Genomic DNA, 27011 nt, shown 5'->3' with positions numbered 1-27011 from the left:
GACTGTAATTTGTACTTTTTGGAACACCATATATATATATGTATATGTACGTGTATATATATATATATACACACACACACATATGTATATATACATGTATATATATATATACATGTACATATATACATTCATTGTATTGTTTTAATAGATGTTTATCTGTCTAACTCTCTTGATGAGCTCTGAACACCTGAGGGAAGGACAAGTGCCAAACACGTATTTTTTAACCTAGCTTAATGCCTCGCGTAGGACAAAAGATCAATACATGTTGGTGGAATCAGATTAAGTCTTTTTATTTCTTACTCCTTTTGATTATTCTTCAGCTCTTTGATACTCTTATATTTTAGGAAGTAGTGGGTTGAATTTCATAAACTATTTCCAGTACCATACAACTAAAAGTCCCATTTTATCCTCAAAACTTTTTAATTTTAATATTGTTACTATTTTATACTTTTTGTCCATTTATTAAAGTTAACTGGAATTTGGGATTTAATCTAATGGAAACCAAGTAGGAACTACACAGAAGGAAGAACAAATAAGATACTTTTTACCATTACATTTTTTTTTCTAAAATAATATATTCTGAGCTGAATTTGAAACCTTTGAAAATACTGAATAAAAAATTTTTCCCGCTTGATTCACGTTTAGGATATATATAATAGGAGTAAATTTCTGAATAAATAATTTATGCTTTTTACTAACAGAGATAATCTTTCTTAACAGCATAAAATAAATTTAGGAAACACATGTTGACAGACGTACATATCTATCTGTCCGTCCATCCATCCATTTGTCTATCTACTTATATTGATAACATATACATATGTGTGGGCATTTTAATACATTTACTTCTACTTTGCTGCTGATAATAGAAGATCATGAGTTTGACCAAGTAGGAGTTTTACTTTTGTTTCTGGATATGAAAAAAGATTATGTCTTCGTAATTGGAAGAAAACAAAACAACTCAGAGAAATGGATCAAATGGCACGTTTTATAGATACATCCATTTTATTCATAGTAAAGCTATGGGATGATAAAATTTCCATTCAATTGGCATCTATCAACTTATGATAATAGCAATTTTTGTGAATATAGGAGACTAAAAATAATTTTGTCATGGCAAAATAATGGAATTTCAGGTCCTGTATTTTAGTAAACAAATAGTAATCAACCATCTAGGTATGGTACAATTCACATCCATATCCATTCACACACAGTATCCAGAAGTTACAAGGTCATTTTTGTGCCTACAATAAATGGGCCAATTTTGCCATTTAAATTTGGTATATGCTCTCAGAGGTGTTGATTATTCAAAATACCTGTTTGCCCAAGTCTATTAAGCTTAAAAACTCCATTTTAATACCCCTTAAATTTAGACCATGTTTATATGACAAATGTTTCAGAGTTACTTATAAACACCATTAAATTTCATCACTAATTACAAATAACAGGATTGAAATTAACACCTGTCCCAGCTGCTTTAGATTTTGGATTGCTCTTAATAAACAGTTGAGAAAATCCTCTGTTGCTAAACATTTACTGGGGCCATTTGCATTCTGATTTTCAATGAGCTATTATGATTTATACTCTCATATAGTCATCTGAAAATAGCACAGAGCTTGAAGCCACTGAGTGTACTTCCTCATTTGAATTTGAAGCAATGTATGTAATATCTTACATTTTAAAATCAGTTTTCAGTGTGAGACATAAATTTATCTCCTAAAATTGTTCTATTTTTTCCTCCAGGGCTACTAGGAGAAGAATGCCAGTGGGGTAAATGGGAATTTTCACACATACAAAAATTGAACATCATTAGGTTACACTAATGTACAAAAAAAGAGTGCTATAAGTCTTAATGATCACTTAAAATGAAAAAGCTCTTAAAGATAGATGAAACTCTCGCTTCCTTCTACCCTTCCTTTGTGGCCCTTGGCCTGCACTATAGGTGCTGGCAGAGTTTTCAAATGAAATAAGACAGTTAAATTGGCAAGTGGTTCAGTGCTACCTGAAACAGCATTAAATAACATGCAGTACTAATATTAACAGGAACTGTGGATTTGGAAAAGTTTCACACTCACTGAGGGAAGGGTGGTCATCTTGCTGCCACACTGAAAAGCTGTGAAAAAAATAAAGAGTAATGTGATTTTTTTAAAAAGTGTCAGAAAATCTCACTGGCCTCCAAATCATGGGATAAAACATTTTTTTTAATCCTTGGAGTCCCATTCGATTATAATATTTAAAATGATAAGACTTAAGTTTTTATTTGCTTTAGGACTTCAGGACAACAGAACTCTAGATGCAGTGCTCTAATTATTCAAATATGTGTCCTTAGTAGACATAAAAAAAAATTCAAGGTACATCAAGATGCATTTTAAAATAAAGCTTCTAAGCATAAGAAAATTCTTACAAGATAACCAGAAGATGGCAGCATGGCTGCTATTTAGAAATTGGATAGCTTATAACTTCCCATAAGCAAAAAATGATTTCTCGATTTTTGTAAATAGTATACTATTTCCAATCAAAAAAAGTCTCAATATAGGAAACATAATTAAAAGGAAAGACTGTTGGTAAGATCTAAATGATAGCTTGACCAAAACAAAATTACAAAGAAACAAAAATGGATTCTTCCTCCCTGCAAATAATGTAAAAGAAAGATGAAAGGAAGAAAGACAGAGAATGCCAAGGCTCTTAAAAATGTGCTTTCAGAACATGTTAAATAAGCTTGATAGAGAAACTTATCATCAGGGGTGATAGAACCCATTATAAGAAAGAGACTCTTTTATGATTCCACACAAGATGAGCCCTGATATTGAAATAACCAATTAATTCCATCTAGGCCATTAGAAAAGAATTAAAGGTCGTTATTATAATTGCACAGGTTCAAAACAAACTTCTTACATTTACCATCTTTTAAAGTCTATTTCAGCTTAAAAAAAACATGATTCTATGATCTTATGAATTTCTTAAAGAACAAACGTGTGCAGTTAACAAATAATTCCAGAACACCTTTTTCATTTTTAAAGGTATAATCCGATTTTAGCTAACACAATTAACTGAGGATATAACTAAACTAAAATCTTTTAAAACCAGCTGAGAATCCCCTTAATGATGGCTATATGCAGCATAACAAAAAGACAGTGGGAAAAAATATTTTATAGTTCCTAAAAAAAATCTGTAACAAAATTTTACTAGAGTAGAAATTTTAAGGAAAATCCTTTAATGCATTCTACTATAAGCTGTTAAAACACAGTGCATTTATCTATTACGTTTTCTGGTTCATTATATATATTTATGATATGTACTGAACCATCTGTCTTCCAAGATGCCATAGGACCTGTTCAAACTGAACTAGTTACCATACTTGTTATAAGGCTAGTTTGGGTTTTTACATGTACTTGTATATTAGTGTAGATCCATTCATTTATTCAAAATATATTTATTGCCTATTGTCATACTTGGTCCCATTCTAGGCAACTACTGAAACACATTACAAGTTTTGAAGAGATTCATTAGACAATTTTAATATGAAAATAGCCAAAAATATAAGAACTGAATTTGACAGACAAACATTTGTGTGAATGTCTAATTTCAAGCTAACATAATTATTGATATACATTAAGTCCTTGTTATTTTTCTTTGTTATGGATTTAATAATTGATCAAAACTTATATTTATACCTATTAAACTAGTATTGAGTTCATAGGAAGAAAATATCTATAAATGAGATTGTTTAATTAGCAACAGAATAACTTACAAAACATTTGAGATAAAGCCACTGAAATCAGGCAGAAGGGAATTGATTTATTCTCCTCTCCACCTGCAGTGGGCAGCAAAGCCTTAGTTAGGTTTTAAGATTTCATAGAGAAAACAATAAGCAGGGAAGCAAACCAACTGGTGACACAGTGGACAGGTGTCATTCTCAAGCCCCTGGGGAAGGTGGCTTTCAGCGGCAGGAAACAAATTAGATGATGAGGAGGATAAACATTTTATAAAATTCTTTGCCATATTTTTTCTCATTTAAGAAAAATTGTCCAATGTCCAAGACAATACATCAAGAAAACAAAACAAACATTCACTTTTTAAGGCTATGAAACTCGAGACTTGGGTACATTAAATCTGAGGATGGAGAGCTAACGAATAGTACAGTCTAGATTCCCAGCCAGATATTCCCACCTCTACATTAAAATTAGAGGAAATTGGGACCAGATTAGAAAGAGGTTCTGGCCTGCTAAGATCATCTTTGATCCCATGAAGTTAAGAAATTATGTGTGTTCTTTTAGTTGTTTCACAAAGATAAATAAAATATTTGCTCAAATGATTAACCTCTGTTTTTGAAGACCTGAATATAATTGAAGTTCATCCAGAGAATTTATGAGAGATTTCAGTAGCTACAATGTTTACCTTAAGTTTGATTTGCACTTGTCCTGATAAATTACGACTCGATTTAATTTTTTTTTTTTTTTTTTTTTTTTTTTTTGAGACAGAGTTTGGCTCTGTTGCCCAGGCTGGAGTGCAGTGGCGCAATCTCGGCTCACTGCAAGCTCTGCCTCCCAGGTTCACGCCATTCTCCTTCCTCAGCCTCCTGTGTAGCTGGGACTACAGGCGCCCACCACCACGCCCAGCTAAGTTTTTGTATTTTTAGTAGGGACGGGGTTTCATCGTGTTAGCCAGGATAGTCTTGATCTCCTGATCTCCTGATCCGCCCGCCTCGGCCTCCCAAAGTGCTGGGATTACAGGCGTGAGCCACCGCACCTGGCCGATTTAAAAGTTTTAATCACCTAGGGAATATGTCGATTATCTCCCCCTCAGTAGAGTGTCTTGGCCTGTGAACAGGGAAAAATAGTGCAGAATAAAATATTTTGGAGCAAGTAATTTATTGTTTGAGTTTATTTATATTCTGTGAACTTCTTATGTGACATCCAGTGCACTTCCCAAGCTTGAATAGTTACGCACTGAAAATCTCATACGCTACGGGAACTTGCCTATAGGCCAAGGCATTCCGCTTGATGATGCTTACCTTGGATGTATATTAATGCTTTCTCCACCAAAGTTAGAGCCTGGTTTCTGAAACGTTTTAACATGTAATTCCTATTTAGAAAAATATATAGGCATACAAATATAAATATCAACTCAAAGTAGACTACAATAAATACTATGTATGGAAAGGCAAAAAATGTTATAAGATCCCTCCAGATGTCCATGTAGCCAGCCAGAAAATATTTAAACATGTATAATGTGTCAGGTAGGCTGATAGGTGATGAAATATAGACATAAACTTAATGAAGGACTTTGAATCAATTTTTGAAAGTGTTAGAGAGGCACCGGAAACTTGTGAGTAAAGCGATAACTAAAGCAGAGGGTTCTTTTAGTTGTTTCCACTTTAGATCTAATTTTGACCCTAGATGAAGACCATGAAAGAAGAGTTAGATAGTTGTTTAAACACTTCACTGATTATTGCATGTCAACTTCATGCAGAAAAAAAAAATATTCTTTAAAATATGGCCAGATTTGGTTATCACATTTCCTAAAATGTTATAACCACCTGGAGCTCACCTGGTGGCTATTTGGGCTTTTCTTTTTACTTCTCCCCCTTTAAACATTTTTTTCTTTTGTATCAGATTAATATTATATACTGTGTCTACGGGATTTAAATAAAATCCATTACCACCCCTTAGAAAGCTGTTTTAGTTTTCTTTTTTTTTTCTTTCTTTTTTTTTTTTTTGAGACGGAGCTTCTCACTGTTGCCCAGGCTGGAGTGCCGTGGCCCGATCTCGGCTCACTGCAAGCTCTGCCTCCCGGGTTCATGCCATTCTCCTGCCTCAGCCTCCCCAGCAGCTGGGACTACAGGCGCCTGCCACCATGCCCGGGTAATTTTTTTGTATTTTTAGTAGGGACGGGGTTTCACCGTGTTAGTCAGGATGGTCTCGATCTCCTGACTTCGTGATCCACCCACCTCGGCCTCCCAAAGTGCTGGGATTACAGGTGTGAGTCACCGCGCCCGGCCAGAGAGCTATTTTTATATCTTTTTTCATGGCATCCTTTTGTGAAAGAAAATTTGACTAGGAGCTTGTCCTCTGTACATTCATATGTGTATAAAACAATAAAAGGAAAGAAACATTTTTAGAAAAATTATAACTTCATGATTTATTTGTATTTCCCAAGTGTCTACTGATTGTAAAAGTGGTATACAGGCTGGGCGCGATGGCTCACGCCTGTAATCCCAGCACTTTGGGAGGCCGAGGTGGGGTGGATCACCTTAAGTCGGGAGTTTGAGGCCAGCCTGGTCAAAATGGCAAAATCCTGTCTTTACTAAAAACACAAAAAATTAGCCAGGCATGGTGGCAGGCGCCTGTAGTCCCAGCTACTTAGGAGGCTAAGGCAGGAGAATCTCTTGAACCTGGGAGGTGGAGGTTGCAGTGAGCCGAGATCACGCCATTGCACTCCAGCCTGGGAGACAGAGCAAGACACTGTCTCAAATAATAATAATAATAATAATAATAAATAAAAAATTGATATACGTTGTTCAGATTCAAATTTTTCTACTGTTTGTCATTTCTTTTGTGTCTTTAATCTTTCTCAGGTCTCTGACCTTTTGTAGTAGCATTATTTTATCCTCTTTTCCTTTATCCACCTTATTGGGTGTCCCAAATCCCTTTTACCTGGTATGTTTTTCTCCATTCCTCAATCTTCTTTTTCTTTTTCTGAAATCTTATTTTACCCTTCCTTTGCTTTATGAAATGATGTATTTAGGAGAGTATATTAGTTAAACTGTGACAAAAGAAAATTGACAGAAAAAAAGTAACATTAATTAAATTTTGGACTGTAAAGGATTTGGCCTTTTTTTTTTTTTTTTACATAGTTGACATAAACACTTCCTGAATCTTGATACATATTTGTCAATGCGTTATATGTCATCATATATCATAAACCAATTGGACCTTTACCTGGAAGCTGACAAAGATTTTGAGCTTGGTGAGGTAGCACTCTCTACCACCCAACTATTTTACTACTGAGAGTGTCACTGTTGTGTAGTACTGTTTGTTCTTTTTTTTTTAATGAAATATTTTATAAAATCTAGTTAAATGAGAAATAAAATTGATTTTTAAACATTTTTATGTATTTTTTTTTTATTAAATTGAGATGGAATTTCACTCTGTCGCCCAGGCTGGAGTGTAGTGGTGCGATCTCAGATCACTGCAACCTCCGCTGCCCGGGTTCAAGCAATTATCATGCTTCAGACTTCCAAGTAGTTGGGACTTCAGGCGCACACCACCACACAAGCTAATTTTTTTGAATCTTTAGTAGAGATGGGGTTTCGCCCTTTTGGCCAGGCTGGTCTCAAAACTCCTGATCCACCTGCCTCGGCCTCCCAAAGTGCTGGGAAGACAGATGTAAGCCACTGTGCCCAGCCAATTTTATAAGTAAAAATATGAAGTTAATAAAAATTAGTATTAAGATGGGAATCTCTAGAGTGCAACTTACCTGCAAGTGATTTTTTTTTATTATACTTTAAGTTCTAGGGTACATGTGCACAACATGCAGGTTTGTTACGTATGTGTACATGTGCCATGTTGGTGTGCTGCACCCATTAACTGATCATTTACATTAGTGTGGCGATTCCTCAAGGATCGAGATCTAGAAATACCATTTGACCCAGCCACCTGCAAGTGATTTTAAAGTACTCCTCGTCTTGCTTCTACCAGCAAGGGAATGTCCACTGTGATTTACTTCTGTGCCTATAACATTCTGTTGTGTTTCTCACATGCTGTTTTCAGTATTAGCATTTATGGTACAAAATGCTGATTATGTGGTAATTTATTTTACTCTTATGCTTATATGACCTCATACCATTATATACAAATCTATTACAGTAAAATTCTTCAGGTTCTTGATACTCTCTCGATGCTAATAAAGTTTTCCACCATGAATATAACCATGAAATGCATGCAAATGTATCAATAATTCTCAAAATAGTTTTAACTTATAATGGGTTAGAGTAGGCATAGAAGATGTAAATTTTTCTAGTTTTCATTAGTTTATGCAGGTAAATGTAATCATCTTACAGCTGCTTCAGTGCATGGCAAATAATGGCAATCAATAAATGCTTGTCTTGAATTTGATGAAATACTCTAATAGACATGAAAAATTTTTAGGTTAGGTAAATATAATAATAGAAAACAGGCTTAGGCCATTGGTTTGTATTATTGATAATGAAATATGGAGAAGTAATATATTCTCATCATTGTATTTGGAGAAAAAACCAGGATAGTGAATAATTATAACATTAGCAAAGTGGTAATAAATAACTTAGTGGTTACAAAGAAAATGTTGGAGCATGTTGCCTTCATTTCATCATGACCTACTTGAAGCATTGGCTTTGAATTTTTTTTGAATAATTATTGACTAGCAGGAATTGTGCAAAAATGGTACCTTTTGTATGTACCCCATATCCAGCTTCCCCTAATGTTAACAACTGACATAGCCATTGTAAAATTTATTTGTACAATTGTATAATTAACACTGGTACTATAATATTAATTAATATGAGACATTATTGGAATTTTACTAGTTTTTCAACAAATATTCTTTTTCTGTTCCAGCACCCAAATTACTATGTCGAATTGCATTTAAATGCTCCATTTCCTTAGTTTCTGCTGATCTGTGACCATTGCTAAATCTCTCTTTATCTTTCATTATCTTGAAACATTTTATGAGTACCATTTAGTTGTTTTGCGGAATGCCTCTCACTTTGGTTTATGTAATATTTATGAATGATTAGACTAAGGTTCTGAATTTTGGGCATAAAGACTACAGAAACTATGTTGTGTCCTTTTCAGTACATCATATCAAGGTACATGATAATGATATATACTTTGTCTATGAGAAAGTAGCATGTACTAGGTTTTTCCACCATAAATTTAGTGTTTTTCCCTTCATAGCTAATAAATATACTGTAGGAGATACTGTGAGATTATGCAAATATCCTGCTTCACCCAGTAATTTTGGTATCCCTTGCGAATCTTGCCTGCAATAATTACTACTGTAGTGTTTCCTGAATGGCAATTTTGTATTTTTCTGATCCTTTCTATATTTATTATACAATAAGATTTTTGTTACTTAAAATAGTATTTGCCATCAATATTGAGCAGAAACAAAAATATACAATTTCATATTTTTGTTCCTACTTATTTTATAAAACTTTTCTTTCATTCTTTCTAAAGACTCTAGCTAGGTTGGACTAGAGTTTTTTTTTTCCAAAACATGTTTTTAGCTAAACCGTGTTGGTGAAAGCAGTTATATTCACCCAAACCCTGTACATAGCAAACCCTGCTCAAACCATATACAATTTGTTGATAAAATGTAGGAGAGATTATATGTGTGTATAGGTGTGTGCGTGTGTGTGTGTATATATATAATATATAATACATTATTAAGACATCATACATATATCTAATATATGTTTTATGATATAGATATAAACATATATATATCTATATATACACACACACATAAAATTTTAAATGCTGGTAATAAACATGGACAATATATTTTGACACTGGACTTCACTTCAGATTTTAAGCTAGCACAGTTCCACTAATGAACAAATACTTTGTAATTGCTTTGAGTGAGTCAGTATGGTCTGCTAGGTTATTGATCTGCTAATTTAAAAAATCTTGAAATAAGATGTACCTTGATGGCTTAATGGATTTGACTTTAGAGCTCCCTTATGGAAGTTTACCATGGCTTTGGAAGGAAATTTGTGAAACAGGAAAAAGAAAGTAGTAAAATAAGTTGTAGTTCTAGAATGTGAGATTAGAATGACTTAAAATAATATCTTTTTCCTTCAGTATAATTGTGGATGCTGTGGTTGAAAGCTTATTTATTGTAAATAAGCCATAAAAAGCTTGCAAGGTTAAATAAAAATTACGTCACTAGATTTTTTTCTTAATATTCACTTTAAAATTTTCCATAGTAAATTCCAAGTATTTCTCTGATTTATGAATGCTTTGCAGTTGGGAAGAATATCTTTTAGATATGTTAGCTTTATCCTTTGTACAGCTCTTCCTAAACTATGACCCTTAAAACTATGCATTATATGTCAAAGAATAATTTAAAAAATACTTTTATAAACATTAACAGCAAATATGGCTTTGCTTATCTTATAGGAAATCTTTCGCACTTGTGTTAGCTTTCTGTAAATCTGTCTGACGACATATTGATGCAAATTACATTTTCATGTTTTGTGACTTCTGCAGTTATTGTTCAGCTTTATCATGACTCACCAAGAATTTTTTCCCCACTATTTAAAATCACTAATGGATTTGCAGCTAACCTATGGCTTTAGTCTCTGGCAGTTGCCTTCAGTATCACTTGCGTATGCACTGAGCTGATAAGTACTGTGGTTCATTTTACTCTTGAGCAAACCAAGTTTAATTAAAAAAAAAAAAAAAAAACGAAGCAGGAGAGAAAAACAGATGAATAATTACCTTAGCCTGGGATAAAGGTGGTGAAAAATCACTTGATTGCTTTCTAATCTTTGGCAAGATATATTAAAATAAGGCTTGGGAGGGGAGGAACTGGCAAAAGAAGGTAGAGGAGACAACAAGGGGTACAAAGTAGCGTTCTTGTGCTCTTTATTATGACTTCCTTGGATTTCTCCAACTGTATTTTATTCTGTATTATCAGTTTGATAAAATTATAATTAAAATGTACATCTTGGTTTAATTATAGATCTCTTCCCACATCAGTGGCTATTCCTCAGTATTCCCAGTGCCATCGTTTCACATTACATTTTAATTTGTAAGTTCATCAGGAAGAACAGTGTACCCCAGCATATAAAGGATTACTTGTCATGATTCAGTAGGCTAACAAAGCTTTTGTTGAAAAGAGAAGTCTAATGAAAAGAAAGATTCTACTTCTCCTAGTCCAATTATTAGCTCAGATATTTCATGCAAGAAAGAAATTGGAAATTTTCCTCACTGCACTGTATAATACGCTCACTTTAAAACCTTGGTAAAAAAATATACAAATGCACATCTCCTATAATGGGGAAAATCATTTGAGGATAGCAAATATGCACAGAATCAAAAACAAACAGCTTTACTTTTCTAAATAAACTTTAAGAATTACTGTTGCGTGGGAGAAAAGTTTCAACATTAGTCTTTTTTTAATTGTCAAGGAATGAAAATCACTGATAATCTTGGAAGAATTTAAACAAGATAATTAAACATACATATAAAGGCAGAATAATAAATTCCATGATGATTTGGTTACTTTCATGTATTTAGATTATATGACTTCATAATTTGGGCTTATCTATCCAGATATCTTAAAATACAAAATAAGTCAGTCAACATGTATTTATAAAGTACTGGAAGAATAGCATTAGACAAATTCCAAGGAAGCAGATGTATCCAATCACAAAACAGTAAGATGAACTTTCGTTTTGTGGGTTTCCTGAGTATTCAGAATACCATGCTGATTTCAAATTTCGATAACTTGTTATACACTGGAGTTTTATTATAATAACTGTGAGGACTTGAGAGAATGTTATAATTAAGAAGGTCCCACATAACCTTTTGTTTCCTTCTTTTGTCTTCCACATAAATAACTCAGAGCTATCTATACTCATTGCAATAATTTTTCCCCAGGAACAGCATGGTTAAGTCAAAGGATTACTGGGCAGGGAGTTCAAAGTTGAGGGAGTCCAGTTTTATGTTTCTTAATTTATCACAACCTAGGGTTTCCTCATCTGTTAAATGTTTAGAAAATATTCTTTCCTCAGTTAATCAGTTGGTAACATACCTCAATTAGTCTATGATTCTCAATAATCATTTAAAGATGCAAATGTGTTCCTCCAATTGACAGACTGTCAATCAATGAACAATCATAGCAATAGACATTGTGATTAGTAACTTTAAGGGGTTAGGAATTCTTAGAAAATCTTAATCTCATCGGCATTTTAAATTATAATTTAAATTAGGACTTAGAGGTACCTGTAAGACAGTATATCTTATGACATCCAGGGAGTGTTTACTGAGATACTGACCATGTTCATGCATACATATACACACTGTGTTGAGATGACTGTAGGATATTATGAAAATTTCTGGAAAAAGAAACCAAGCAACCACCGGGAGTCAAAGAATACTTCTGGAGAAAGGTATCAAAATTGAGTCCAAAGGCCGGGTGCGGTGGCTCACGCCTGTAATCCCAGCACTTTGGGAGGCTGAGACGGCAGATCATAAGGTCAGGAGATCGAGACCATCCTGGTTAACACGGTGAAACCCCACCTCTACTAAAAATACATAAAATTAGCCGGGCGTGGTAGTGGGCGCCTGTAGTCCCAGCTACTTGGGAGGCTGAGGCAGGAGAATGGCGTGAACTCGGGAGGCGGAGCTTGCAGCGAGCCGAGATTGCGCCACTGCACTCCAGCCTGGGCGACAGAGCGAGACTCCGTCTAAAAAAAAAAAAAATATGAGTCCAGACAAAAAATGTTAGTCAAAAGATAATAGAGGGAGATGGGACTTAGCAAATCGGATTGTGTAAAAACCTACTGGATAGAGAGAGAATAGTCTTTTCGAGAAAGTTGTAAAGTTCATTAAGGCTAAACTCCAAAAGTTTCAGCATAATTCAGGGAAAGGAAACACTTGTTGAGCACCTACTGTATTTCAGTGTGCTTGGTGCTTCAGACTTCCTGTGTTACATGCCTTCACATGTCTTCAAATAGCCACACCTGATACTTCAATTAGGCAACTGTATATTATTGGTCAATTAGATCTTACTGATTTGATTAAATTTGACTAGATTTCCTTCTTCCAATGTCACCGTTGTCTTTCTTTTTTTCCCATTACATAGCATTTAACTTGAGCATTTTTGCGTATTTTTATCGAATGTTTATAAAATCATATATACTATTAAATTATTTTAAATTACTTGTGTATTTTTAGAACAGTGTTAGATGTACAAAATATTGAGTTTATAACAAGGAATTCCCTCTTCCCACTGTCAGTTAAACCCATTATTGACATCTTTACTTTGATATATTTGTTACCCCTGATGAACCACTGTTGCTGCATTATTATTAACTGAATTCCATAGCTTACATCTGGGCTCACTGTTGTTCTTGTACATTCTATGGGTTTTGACTAATACCTAATGTCCACCATGAAAGCATCAAGCAGAATAGTTTCACTGCCCTGAAAACCCCCTGTGCTCCTCCTATTTGTTCCTCGGTCTCCACCCTCCCTGCCAACCCCTGGCCATCACTGATCTTTATGTTGTATAGCTTTGCTTATTACAGAAAGTCATACACTTGGAATATACAGTGCACAGATTTTCTAGACTGGCCTCTTTCACTCAGTCATTTGTTATTCAGGTTCCTCCATGCTTTGTCTTGGCTTGATAGTTGATATCATTTTATCAATGAATAGTATTCCACTATGTGGATGTATCAGAGTTTGTTTATAAACTACTGTTTTCATGGATATTTTAGTTGCTTCCAGTTTGTGAGAATTATGAATAAGGCTGCTCTAAATATTAATGCACAGGTTCTTGTCAGGACTTAAATTTTCTAATCATTCTGATAAATACCTAGGTGTGTGATGGTTAAATCATATCATTTAGCTTTGTAAGAAATCACCAAACTGTCTTCCAAAGTGCCTGTGCCATTTTTGCATTATTATACCAGCAATTAATAAGAGTCCTTGTTATTCTGTGTTTGCTAACATTTGGTGGTAACTCTTTGTTACCAATGATATATGATCAGCATCTTTTCATATGCATATTTGTTATCTATATATCTTCTTTGGTGAGATGTCTGTTCAGATGCTTTGCCCATTTGAAAATTGGGTATTGTTTTAATTGCTTTTATTTTTTTAATTTTAAAATTTCAACTTTTATTTTAAATACAGGGGTACATATGCAGATTTGTTACATGGGTATATTGCACTCAGGTAGTAAGCACAGCACCCAGTGGTAGTTTTTCAAATCATGCTCCCCTCCCTCACTGACCCCTCTTGGAATCTGCAGTGTCTATTGTTCTCATGTTTATGTTGATGTGTGTTCAATGTTTAGCTCCCACTTATAAGTGAGAATACGCAATATTTGGCTTTCTTGTTCTGTGTTAACTCAGGATTATGGTCTCCAGCTCCATCCATACTGCTCCAAAGAATGTGATTTCCTACCTTTTAATGGCTGCATATTATTCCATGGTGTATATGTATCTCTTTAAAAAAAGAAATCCAATCCACTGATGGACACCTAGGCTGATTCCATGTCGTCTTCGCTATGATGAATGACACAATGATGAACATATGAGCGTATGTGTCTTTTTGGCATAATGACCTATTTTCTTTGGGGTATATACCCAGTAATGGGATTGCTGGGTTGAATGGTAGCTCTATTTTAAGTTTTTTGAGAAACCTCCAAACTGCTTTCCCCAAGTGGCTGAACTAATTTACATACTAATTTACATAGCTGGTAAGACTGTGGAGAAAAGGGAACACTTAAACCTTGTTGGTAGGAATATAAGTTGGTGCTCCCTTTTCTCCATAGCCTTACCAGCTGTTGTTTATTGACTTTTTAATAATAGCCATTCTGACTAGTGTAAAATGGTATCTCACTGTGGTTTTGATTGGCATTTTTCTGATGATTAATGATGTTGAGCATTTTTTATATATGTTTCTTGGCTGCCTGTTTGTCTTTTGTGAAGTGTCTGTTCACATATTTTGTCCATTTTTTTAAATAAAGTTATTTGGTTTTTGCTTGTTGCATTTGTTTAAGTTTCTTATACATTCCGGATATTAGACCTTTGTTGGATGCATAGGTTGTGAATATTTCCTCCCATTCTGCATGTTGTCTGTTTATTCTGTTGATAGTTTCTTTCGCTGTGCAGAAGCTGTTTAGTTTATCCCATGCCACTTATCAGTTTTTGTTTTTGTTGTAATTGCTTTCAGAACTTAGCCAAATTTTTTTTGTCAAAGCCAATGTCTGGAAGTGTATTTTCTAGGTTTTCTTCTAGGATTTTTATAATTTGAAGTCTTACATTTAAATCATTAATACATCTCAAGTTAATTTTTGTATATGGTGAAAGGTGAGACCCTAATTTCATTCTTTTCCATGTGGCTAGCAGTATCATTTATTGAATAGGGAGTCCTTTCCCCATTGCTTTTTTTTTTTTTTTTTTTTTTTTTTGTCAGTCTTATGAAAGATCACATGGCTGTAGGTGTGAGGCTTTGAGTTTTCTATTCTGTTTCACTGGTCTGTGTCTCTGTTTTTGTACCAGTATCATGCTATTTTGGTTGCTATAGCTTTATAGTTTGAAGTTGGGTAGTGTGATGCCCTGGCTTTGTTCTTTTTACTTAGGATTGCTTTTACTATTGGGGTTCTTTATGGTTCCATATAAATTTTAGAAATTTTTTTCTAATTTTGTGAACAATGACTTTGGTTGTTTTGTAGGAATAACTCTGTACTCCCATACTTTGTGCCATAGCCTGGAGGCACCAGAACATGGCCTAGGTCAGGTTCCAGCTGTATTTGGGGATCTGATGTAATTCTCGGTCACCAGGAGTGTATGAACGTAGAGCATTCAGGCTGGGCTGCTAAGGCTACACTGTGTACCTGTTCCTGCAGAGTGGCTATGCGTGGCCCCTAGGAGGGGGCAGACAGGGAGCATGGGAGGGGCAGACAGACAGCAGGACTTACAAAACAGACATGCCTTAGTCATGGGGAAGCCAGTCTTGCCCTCTCCTGACTCGGAGGTCAGCTGAGAACAATGCCTCCGGGAATCGGGGAGTTCCCGGGGATGGGCGTCTATGGCTACTTTTTGCTGGAGCTGCCCAGCACACAAACATTTCTGTGCTACACACCACCTGAAGGCCTGTCTCTGCCTTTTCCCCAGGGAAATCCCCCTGCCAGATCACATATTCATGGAGGACACAGCTTACCCTGTAGCTAGGATCCTAGAGGTCCACAGAGAGAGTGAGTTATCCCTTAGTTCCTGCACTCACCCCTCTCCCAGGAGCCATTCGGGGCTGGGAACTAGCCCTAGCATTCCCTTATGCTGTGCAGGGTTCCTAACTTCCTTCCTCTTCAGCCTTGCCTTCAATGTCACCTCTCCATCCACCACAGCTTTTTGTTTCCAAACATCTGCCCATATTATGGTAGTTTAGTCAATAACTGGATCTCTCTCAATGGGAGTGTCACTTCCTAGCTGCGTCTCTTCAGCCATCTTGTCTCCCCTCTCTATCACTGCCTTTCTTGAGGAATCACAGCTAGTGCTAGTCCTATTCTTGGAATATCCTCTTTGTCCATGCTTTTCTAGCATTTTCTTTCTGCTATTCAGATGGCATTATAGACAATGACTCATGTATAAACCCATTTGGGGTAATTGTGTTGAAGGGTATGATGTTTTCACCTGATGGTACTCTAATTCTCTTTATAGAAATTTACAATTTATGCATTTTACTGATTATAATGCATTTTACAAAAAAAACCATTAAAACCTTCTTTAATATTAGTATACAATATCAACATGTTTCCAGAGTTATTTATTTAACTTTTTTGTTTTTGTTGTTGAGATAGAGGCTCACTCTGTTGCGCACACTACAGTGCAGTGATGTGATGATGGCTCACTGGAAACTTGACCTCCTGGCTCAAGCAATTCTCCCACCTCCGGCTCTTGAGTAGCTGGGACAACAGGCATGTGCCACCATAACTGGCTAAATTTTGTGTTTTCTTCTTTAAAGGCAGGGTTTTTTCATGTTCTCTAGGCTGGTCTCAAACTCTTGGGCTCAAGTGATCCACCTACCTCGGCCTCCCAAATGGCTGGGATTACAAGCATTAGCCACCACACCTAGCTGGAATTATATATTTATCTTAAATAGTTGAATTTATTTTTGACACGTAAACATTTAGGGGTGTGTGTGTGTGTGTGTGTGTGTGTGTGCATGTATGTGCATATTTTTATTTGTGTTGGGGATGCTTCAGAGGAAAGTGGTACCAGATATTTATGAAAGATTTTTCTCCTCCAAAATAAGTATCCTGGACTTAGAATGTTTTTAAAAATGTATTTTGATCACTTCATTTTATTGAGGAACATCTGAGGACCAGAGGTAAGAGTGTTTCTAATTTTTTACTTTCCAGTGTTCTTACTATATTACATGTTAGCCATAACAACTAGCATATCTGTTTCAAAATGTAAAGTTGTACATGACAAGCTATGTGTTTATAAAACAACTCTTCAGTGGTACCCAGACTGTCCTCACATGGATGTTCAATTTAAAAGGTATTTTTAGTAAATGACTAGAAAATTGATCCCCTGAATTTATGCCTTTCAACCCAGAGGACAGGAGAAAGTATGTACTGACTGGAAAATGTGTGTGTAAAATTAGCTGGTTATTATCTAGTTAACGAATGGGCTTTGCTGTCTGGTGTGCTATGAAGTGGAAGTGAGCAGTTGTTGGAAAGAGAATATAAATAGTGCTTTATGAGACTATATTGATCTTCCTTTTGTTTTCAATTTAAGGTTTTGAAAAAAAGTAATTTTAAAGTAAAGGAAAAGTTTAGTAAAAGTCACTATCTTCATTTTAACATGTAATGGCTGATTAGGTTGTTAAACTAGCATGTTCTTTTTTTTCTTGTTAGCTAGAAGGGAGTAGATCGTATTTTGGATTCAACACATGCAAAAAGAGCAACAAATAATAAATTACACTATGAATCATATTGTTTATTTTTTCACATATCCATTCAACAGATGTTTTCTCAGTGTCTGTTGTGTGCCAGGCATTATGCTAGATGCTAGATGAGAAAAATCAAAAAGCAAAGTTTATTAGGGCTGGAAGCTCATAAGTATAATGGAAGATACAGATCAGTAAAGCAACAATTGCAGGAAAGGGTTATGGCACACGAGTTCAAGAGATATAAGAGGAATTAGGAACATACAACTAAGACTAGGATAAAGATGGAAAGGGGGATGGTATGAACTTAGTACTGAAAGAATTAGCCTCAGTAGAGTTTTAGATAGGAGGATAAACAGGAAAAGGGTATTCCAAGAACAAGGAATAGAATCTAAACATTCAAAAATGAAAGAGAACATACATATTCAGTGGACAGCAAGTGGTTTAGTTTTCCTCCAGCAGAACGTGGGCATGGCTAAATGTGGGCATGTAAGACTGCTGAGCAAGGCAGGAGTCACTCACTTGATGAAATCTTTTACTAGAAAGTGCTTATATTAACCTAGGTGATGAGAAGCTCTTTAAGAACTTTAGTGGGAGTGACATAAAAAGGATTTGCTTTTTTTTTTTTTTTTTTTTTTTTTGAGACAGAGTCTTGCTCTGTTGCCCAGGCTGGAGGCAGTGGCCCGATCTTGGCTCACTGCAAGCTCCGCCTCCCTGGTTCACACCATTCTCCTGCCTCAGCCTCCCAAGTAGCTGGGACTGCAGGCGTCCGCCACCATGCCCGGCTATTTTTTTGTTTGTTTGTTTTCTATTTTCAGTAGAGACTGGGTTTCACCGTGTTAGCCAGGATGGTCTCAGTCTCCTGACCTCGTGATCCACCCGCCTTGGCCTCCCAAAGTGCTGGGATTACAGGCGTGAGCCACCGCAACCAGCCAAGAATTCGCTTTTTAGTAATCTCCCTATAATAGAATGAAAGGGAGATTGGATGAAGATAAAATTGAAGGTGGGGAGATCAATTAGGAATTCTAGCCTCTGAATGCTGCATGAATCTTTTATCTACTACTCTTCTCTCCAGAAGAAAGTTTAGGTGTAAAATCCTAGAAATACAGAGGTGAATTAATTATTTGATTGTAATTCTAATTATTTTATTCTATGATGAGGGAAATGAGGTCAAACAGGTTAAATAACTTGCCCAAAGATGGAGAGATTCTGACTAAACAAGAATTTAGGACCCTGATCTCCTCCTTCTTAAAACCCGTAGATTAAAATTCACAAGGAACCAGCCCTTCAGCTTCAGAGAAATATTTTAACTCAAGTATTAATGGTGATATGTCTGTGTTAGCAGTACAATAAAACAAGTGACCTTCATGGATAAAATTCTCTGTGGTTAAAATTAAAAAGACACAGGAAAATGGGATTCGATTATTAATGCAATTAGTTGATGAACTTGTGGGGTGACAGATACGTAAATGCCTGTTACAGACTGATGATAATGGAGCATTCGACTCTCCAAACTGGTGCTCAAGTTTAGCTCTCAGAAATAATGAGGGACTTACTTCCTTCATCTTGTCTCCTTTTCAGGTACTAATGCTACATTTCGATAATGATGTACAACCCAGCATAATGTCAGAGCTGCCATTACTCCACATTAATTCCATTATTACTTTGTTTTCTGTTGCTGTAGCTTATGATTGTTTTGAAGATCAGGCATTTATGAGGTACTATCATGCATAAAACAGCAAAAGAATATAACGATTAACCCTCCTGGAGACTGCCAGGTTTACAATATGTTAACAAAACGGAGACAAAAGAAATATGTTAAGGCTATGACACACTGTAATGATTAGCATTTACTTAGAATCTTTTTTAAAAAAATAACTCCCTCAAGGCTTCTATATGAATGCCTACATCACATTTAAAAGTATAATGGATCCTTCAAACTAAAGAGCTCAATGCCTGATGAATAGAACTAGTAGCTCATATATAGAAAGAATGTTTTATAGGTACAGATATTTATTTAGGCTGGTGGCCTTAGCTGGCTGTTGAAGTTGATGGTATTCACTATGAGATTAATCAGACAACTACAATTCCTAGTAAGGACAAGTGATTTCTTAAAGAACATAGGTTAATAAATGATGGAACCTCGTGCTTGAACCCTTGGACCCTGAGCCCAAATCATCACCCTATCCACTGTGTTAAAAGGATTTTGCACTTTCACCAGTGCACTGTTGTTTAGATAGTAAAATACATCTTAAAATGTGAATGTATGTAAATATGTATCAATATTCTCTTAGCCCCCAAAATTCTAAATTTAGGAAATTTGAATTTTAGATAAAAAGTCCTCTAGGATGATACAAATTAAAATCAAACTCCATGTGTTTTAATGATCTTGAAGAGCCAAGTAGCACCTGAAGATTCATCATTTCTAGCTGCGGGGCACACTGTGACCTGGAACTCTTGATTCCGATATCCTTAGCATTGTCAGTATAACTCATTTTGAGCACTATGACTTGAACAAGGCAGACCTTAGTGCAAAGGCAGAGTAGATGTCCACTTACCTGCATGAGTCCAGCCTATTTTTCATGTTTGTAGAATAGGAGATTAACACTTCACTCCTCTGGAATAAAACATTGACATTGCCTGTACAGGCAATATAATATTATGGTGGAAAAATAATTTAAAGATGCAGAATAAAGAAAATCACAACTCAGAGATAACCACTAAGAACAGTGCTTATCTTTTTTTTTCCCCAAGATTTCTGTGGGTAGAGTATACCAAAAGGGCCTTGCACCTGTCTTCACAGTTTATAAAAGAATTGGATGTTGGAATGTTCCAGGCAACCTGGTATCAGTCTTGCTTCAGCAGCATAAATTGGCATTCATGACCAGGTGCCTTTTACAATGCTTTCTTTATTTGTAAAAATATGAATTTGCTAAACTCTCACTTGGAGATCATGGTACAACAAGGCTTAGACTGTTTCATTCTAATATAGCAGTGTATGTACCTTATAATGAGGGAATGGAGCAGAGGATGGAATACTCTTTATTCTTTATGTCTTATGTCATGAGATATTCTATAATACCTCTCTTAGAGAATTAAGGAAGATTACCTTTTGATCCTCCAAATGAGAAAGGGGAAGTTTTAATTGGATGTCATCACTGTCAATCATCATGTATATATTAGAGAGAAGCAGGAGACTTCAAGAGTGAAGCAGTTACCACATTGTATTCATATATTATAACTGTGGGAAGAAACATTCTTCTCCCTGGGCTTCCTAAGAGGATGGAGAACTGTGCTGAAAAACCCTTGTAAGGCATATATCCTTCTTTATTCTGAGTGTTTTACTCTGATTTATAAAAAGAAACTATTCATTTGGGGGGATGAGGAGGGAAAGGAGGTTTACATTAAAGGGAATTCTTGATTTTCTTGTATTAATATAGTTTAACCCAATGAGATCTTTTTATACACTTATCTCTTCATCTAAAACCATAAAATTCACTTGATATTCATATGACAGTAAGTTATCTTTGAAAACATGGTTTACAAATAAAAGCACAATATTTCCTATGTGCTATGGGAATACTACAGTTTGTTTATTCTATGATAAGGCATTTAGCTTATTTCCTTTTTTAGAAAGAAGGGGACTAGCATAAATAGTACTGAAATGGATGATCAGAATACATCAATGTTTGTCAGCATACGTGAATGTGTCGTTTTGAGAGATTCCTAGAAGTGAAATAACTGAGTAAAAGGGAGCAAATATTTTTTAAGACTTTGATGCAAGCTTGTAAATTGCTTTTCAATTTATAGTGCCACCAGCAATGAGTGAAGATGGCAATTTTATCACACCTGCTCATTACTATCAAAACAATGTGAAAGACTTGCTATATGAAAAAAGATAATATTTACTTTATATAGACAGATATCATCAGAGACAGATATATACTAAGCTATTCTCAGTAACTAAAGTGTTTGTGATAGACAATCTTCAGGTCAATAGATTGCTTTAGAAGGCATTTGCAGAGCAGGAAAGAGAAGCTTGTGTCCACTGATGGACAACCCTTTGAAACCTAGGAATATCAAGAGAGCTTCTATTATATGAGCCCGTGAGAGATAAATGTTAAATGTAAAATGCAAGAACACTAAGGATAAAATTTACCCGTCGCATATTTGTGTAAAGCTACACTCTAACTGGAAATTATCAGTTGTATTAGTTTACTAGAACTGCCATAGAAAAGTACCACACCCTGGGTAGCTTAAACCACAGAAATGTATGTTTTCATGATTTTGTAGGCTAAAAGTTCAAGACCAAGCTATCAGCAAGGTTAATTTCTTCTGAGAGTCTTTCTCCTTGTCTCGTAGATGGCCGTCTTCTCTGTGTCTTCATGTGGTCTGTCTTCTGTGTATCTCTCGCTGTGTTCTAGCATCCTCCTCTTTAAGGACACCAGTCACATTGGATTAGGGCTCAAACTAATGGCATTATTTTAACTTAATGACCCTTTAAAATATCCTATCTCTAAATACACTTATACTCTGAGGTACTGGGGGTTAGGACTTCAACACAGGAATTTTATGGGACACAATTCAGCGCATAACACCAATATGTTGAAATTTCTAGTTTCTTCTTAAAATGTAATACAAATAAACAATGATGCTTATCTGTTTATTCACTAATTATTATGGCATCATTACTGTCTTTTATGAGAGTAAAATATGTTGCACACTTATTGTTCTGGATTTATTTTGAAGTCATTCTGTTTACAACACATCTGGTTTAAGCAGATACAAAGACATTGGATTTAATAATAATTTTATTTGATTTCTTAAATTCGGTTTACACACTGTATAGAGCATCTTTCTTTGGAATACAGAATGTCATTGAAACGTCACACATCAGTAGGGATGTATGCTCTTGAAATTGGGTTGTATGTCAGTAGGGAATTTAAAATGAAGTTAAAAGTTCCTCCAAGATAGGTTGAAAAAAGTAAGTTATTTTAAAGGCTTAACATTTAAATAAGGTGATGTGGAGTAACTCTGCTGCCTATCCTTATGATCTTCTGACAGCTTTGACAGGGAAACAATGATACAACTGAGAGAAAGGCTTCCACGATAAGCTCAACTTCTTATGGTTATAAACTTGTCATGTGTGACATGGTTGGTTCCATTACAGTAACAAGATGGATACATCGAATTTTGACCACAAATGACATAAAATAATTATGTACTTCAGAATATGAATTAGGTTTGGAAATATGTTTTTTAAATGCAGCTTATATATACACACACTTATGAATGTGTTAACTATCAGATACCTTAAAAGAAATAGACAGTGATGAGAAATGATATAAAACATTGACTCTATGTGTATCTCTGGAAATTATATAGATATATTATGTAGTCAAATTTATTAGATACTAATAGTTAATAAAGGTGGGAAAAAGAACATAATCTTGAGCAACTTTACAACATTCAGATTGGGCATAAGGTGCATAAATCATTGTGATGATCATTTAATTTGTTTTGGAGTAAAATAGTGATTCTGCTCTGGTGAAGTAATAATTGTTGACTTCCATCTGCTTTTGTAAGAATACCTCTTATTGTAGTCAAAACACAGGAAAGATTTGTAGTTCTAATGATACTGCATTACTGTGCATATTTGACCATTTCCAAGTAGGCTCTAAATATAGACCTCTCTTTTAAAGCACAGTAACTGTAAAATAACAGCAACAAAAACAAAATTCCCCTCACCTCCTACCCTTCCTCTTCTCATTTCATCAATATACTTCTTTGGCTCTAGAAATCCATCTGTAATTAATGAACTGTTTTATGGAATTATTTTTTTCTCCAGATTTTCAACCTGTGCAGTGAATATACTTGGAAGCAATCAACAAACAAACATGGCCTGTTTTTTATGTTGTCAGCATCACTAAATCAATATTAAGAAAACATTCATATTTTACAGGTTAAGTACTCTGAGTATTATGATAGGAATGAGACATTTGAAAACAAGCAGAATGAGAATAGTGGAAAATTTCACTTTAGATTACATTAAATGGTGACAAAAAATAATACTGTGTTCAAGGATTAGTTTTATTTCAAGGCACTGAACATATTGCATCTTTATATAACTAATACCAATACAAATGTATCTTAGTTTTGCTTATGGAAGTTCAGTTGTTATTTTGGTGTAAATTTTAAAAAAAGTAAGATTAAACCACCGTATTTTTCTTAAAAGTGACTTTGGTTGTTACTTGTTAAATTGTGATGTAATATAAAATTTCTCTCACGCTGTAAGAATGGCAATCATTAAAAAGTCAGGAAACTACAGATTCTGGAAAGTATGTGGAGAAATAGGAACGCTTTTACACTTTTGGTGTGAGTGTAAATTAGTTCAACCATTGTGGAAGACAGTGTGGCGATTCCTCAAGGATCTAGAACTAGAAGTACCATTTGACCCAGCAATCTCATTACTGGATATATACTCCAAGGATTATAAATTATTCTACTATAAAGTCACATGCACATGAATGTTTATTGCAGCACTGTTCACAATAGCAAAGACTTGGGACCAACCCAAATGCCCATCAGTGATAGACTGGATAAAGAAAATGTGGCACATATACACCATGGAATACTATGCAGCCATAAAAAGAATGAGTTCATGTCCTTTGCAGGGACATGGATGAAGCTGGAAACCGTCATTCTCAGAAAACTAATACAGGAACAGAAAACCAGACACCACATGTTCTCACTTGTAAGTGGGAGTTGAACAATGAGAACACATGGACACAGGGAGGGGAACATCACACACCGGGGCCTGTTGGTGGGTGGGGGGCTAGGGGAGGGATAGCATTAGGAGAAATACCTAATGTAGATGATGGGTTGATGGGTGCAGCAAACCACCATGGCACATATATACCTGTGTAACAAACCTGCAAGTTCTGCACATGTGTATAAAAGGGCTTCTGGTGGCCGGGCACGGTGGCTCAAGCCTGTAATCCCAGCACTTTGGGAGGCCAAGGCAAGCGGATCACGAGGTCAGGAGATCGAGCCCATCCTGGCTAACACGGTGAAACCTCGTCTCTACTAAAAAATACAAAAAATTAGCCGGGTGTGGTGGCGGGCACCTGTAGTCCCAGCTGCTCGGGAGGCTGAGGCAGGAGAATGGTGTGAACCCGGGAGGCGGAGCTTGCAGTGAGCGGAGATTGCACCACTGCACTCCAGCCTAGGTGACACAGTGAGACTCCATCTCAAAAAAAAAAAAAAAAAAAAAAAAAAGGGCTTCTGGTTAAAACATAGTTTACAAAATATCTTGTCCACCCTGTAAGCTTGACACCACCAGTGTATAAAAGGGCTTCTGGTTAAAATGTAGTTTACAAAATATATCGTCCACCCTGTAAGCTTGACTTTCAGAACTTTTCTTATTAAGCTCATAGTCGTTTTATTTTTCTTCTTTCCTTGTTGTTATTTTGTTCATTTTTTCTTTTTGTCTTCTGAAGTCTTATTTCCTCCTAATATTAGCCTATATTAAAGTTAAATTAAACCAATCTTAAATAGTAAATATGCCTCCTCCTTTCCTTCGTTCTATAACTTATTCCCATCCTAGGGTGTATGTGCCTATCAGAAAAATCAGAACAAGTAACCTTAATCCGATTATAATGCCGAAGCTATTCCTAATGGCTAGAGAGATGTGCATGTTACAAACTGAAGTTTGTCTGTTTACTCTTTAAGCTCAACCCTGATTACGTTCGTACCACGTTTCTCTGTGATAAATTCATCATAGCCTGGCAGTAATGCTGACTATTCAGAGGTTTAAGCAATCCCTTTACCCCATACTTTTGTTTTCATGGCTATTAGACAATTGGATTCTTATGTGACCTGTGGAAAACTTTGTTTCCTTGTCATTTAAGGAGGTTTTCTGTTTCTCTAGTCATGCCAGACTGCATGTAAGCATAGAACATAAAATTATAGCTATTAGGAAGAATTTAAAATGCCTCATTTCGTCCCTGCCAAAAAAAAAGTACTGCCATTTTTACTTTGATTTCTCTGATGTAAAATTCATGAATAAAGTTTATCATCCATACTTGTGTTTCTCAATTAATTTGAACATAATAAGAGAAGAAATGAAACATAAGCTAAGGTTTTTACACTGACGGGTGGTAGAGTAGAAATATCATTTATGAATAAGACATAAGTATATTTAAAATATCAAAATTATTTAATATTTTACTTTTCAAATGTTAATAGTTTTAATAGCTAACATTTATTAGTCACTATGTCCCAAAAACTGTTCTAAGCAATTTATTTGTAATGACTCATTTAATCTTTACAACTGCTTCATTGTACATGAAAATTCAAGTCTCAGAGAGGGTATGTAAGTAGTCTACAGCGTTGGCTGATTAGCTATCCAAGGAACCAAGATTCAAATAAAATCTAGAAGGTGTGAAAAAGACTAGTTTTGGCCATCAAATAAAGAAGTTGGCCTAGGGGATTTTATATATGTATAAAACCACAAGCATAAATGTATTTTAAGCAACAACATCCTGTTGCTAATTATTATATGATCTAAGTGATGGTGTATGTATGGATGCACTTGTATTTTGTGCTGTTTCGATGATAGCTTACGGAGCATTCTAGAACACACAGTAACCTGATTTCCTTCCATCACCCAGTAGCTCCATAGACATCTTCATATAACAATAACAACCAATCCCTTAAATCATAAGTCTGAATCCAGTTTACTGGATGGTCCAGTTAGGTTTCTTCTAGAACTGAAATTCTTTGAGTTTGAGAATATTAAATATGGAAGAAAATTGCTTATACTTCTATTTTTTTAGGGTGTTATTTTTCATTCATAGCAAAAAATTTTACTCCAAAATAGTGGTAGAGATCACAAGATAAATAGATTTTTTCTGGAAATTTTAGGCAGATAGAATGCCAGAACATATGAACAAAGTGATTTTTTCCTTCTACATTTAATTGAAATTCTTATAATTAGATTTATCACATTTGCAATGTGAGTTCTCAGATTTAGATAATCTGTGCCTTTAGGTAGATGAGTTTCTGAACATATTTAGAAATGTGACACTGCATCTGATAGAATAATAAGCTAGAAATAATAGAAATTTGGTGCTTCAACTCAGCAATTCTATTTTCTCTTTTGATGTTTAAAGTACTCAAGTTCATTAGAACATATTTAAATCTATTATCTGTGCCTTCATTCTAGATGCACTGCCTGAAAGTTTTTGAAACATTATTACTATAAAAGTCTATCTCTGTTAACTTTAATGAGTGCTTCACTGCCACTTTTTGATGAACAAACATTATAATGCTTTT

The 27011-nt window shown here is 35.2% G+C and overlaps 1 protein-coding gene across 38 annotated transcripts in view; it reads left to right on the top strand.

The window, feature by feature from the left end:
• PTPRD (protein tyrosine phosphatase receptor type D) overlaps positions 1 to 27011 on the top strand; it is a 2298757-nt gene that overhangs the window by 818732 nt on the left and 1453014 nt on the right. The window lies entirely within an intron of this gene.

This window comes from Homo sapiens, chromosome 9 (assembly GCF_000001405.40).
Source record: "Homo sapiens chromosome 9, GRCh38.p14 Primary Assembly".
NCBI classification, from domain to species: Eukaryota; Metazoa; Chordata; class Mammalia; order Primates; family Hominidae; genus Homo; species Homo sapiens.
The sequence above is the reverse complement of the archived record's forward strand: the minus strand, read 5'-3'. Positions and strand labels throughout refer to the sequence as shown.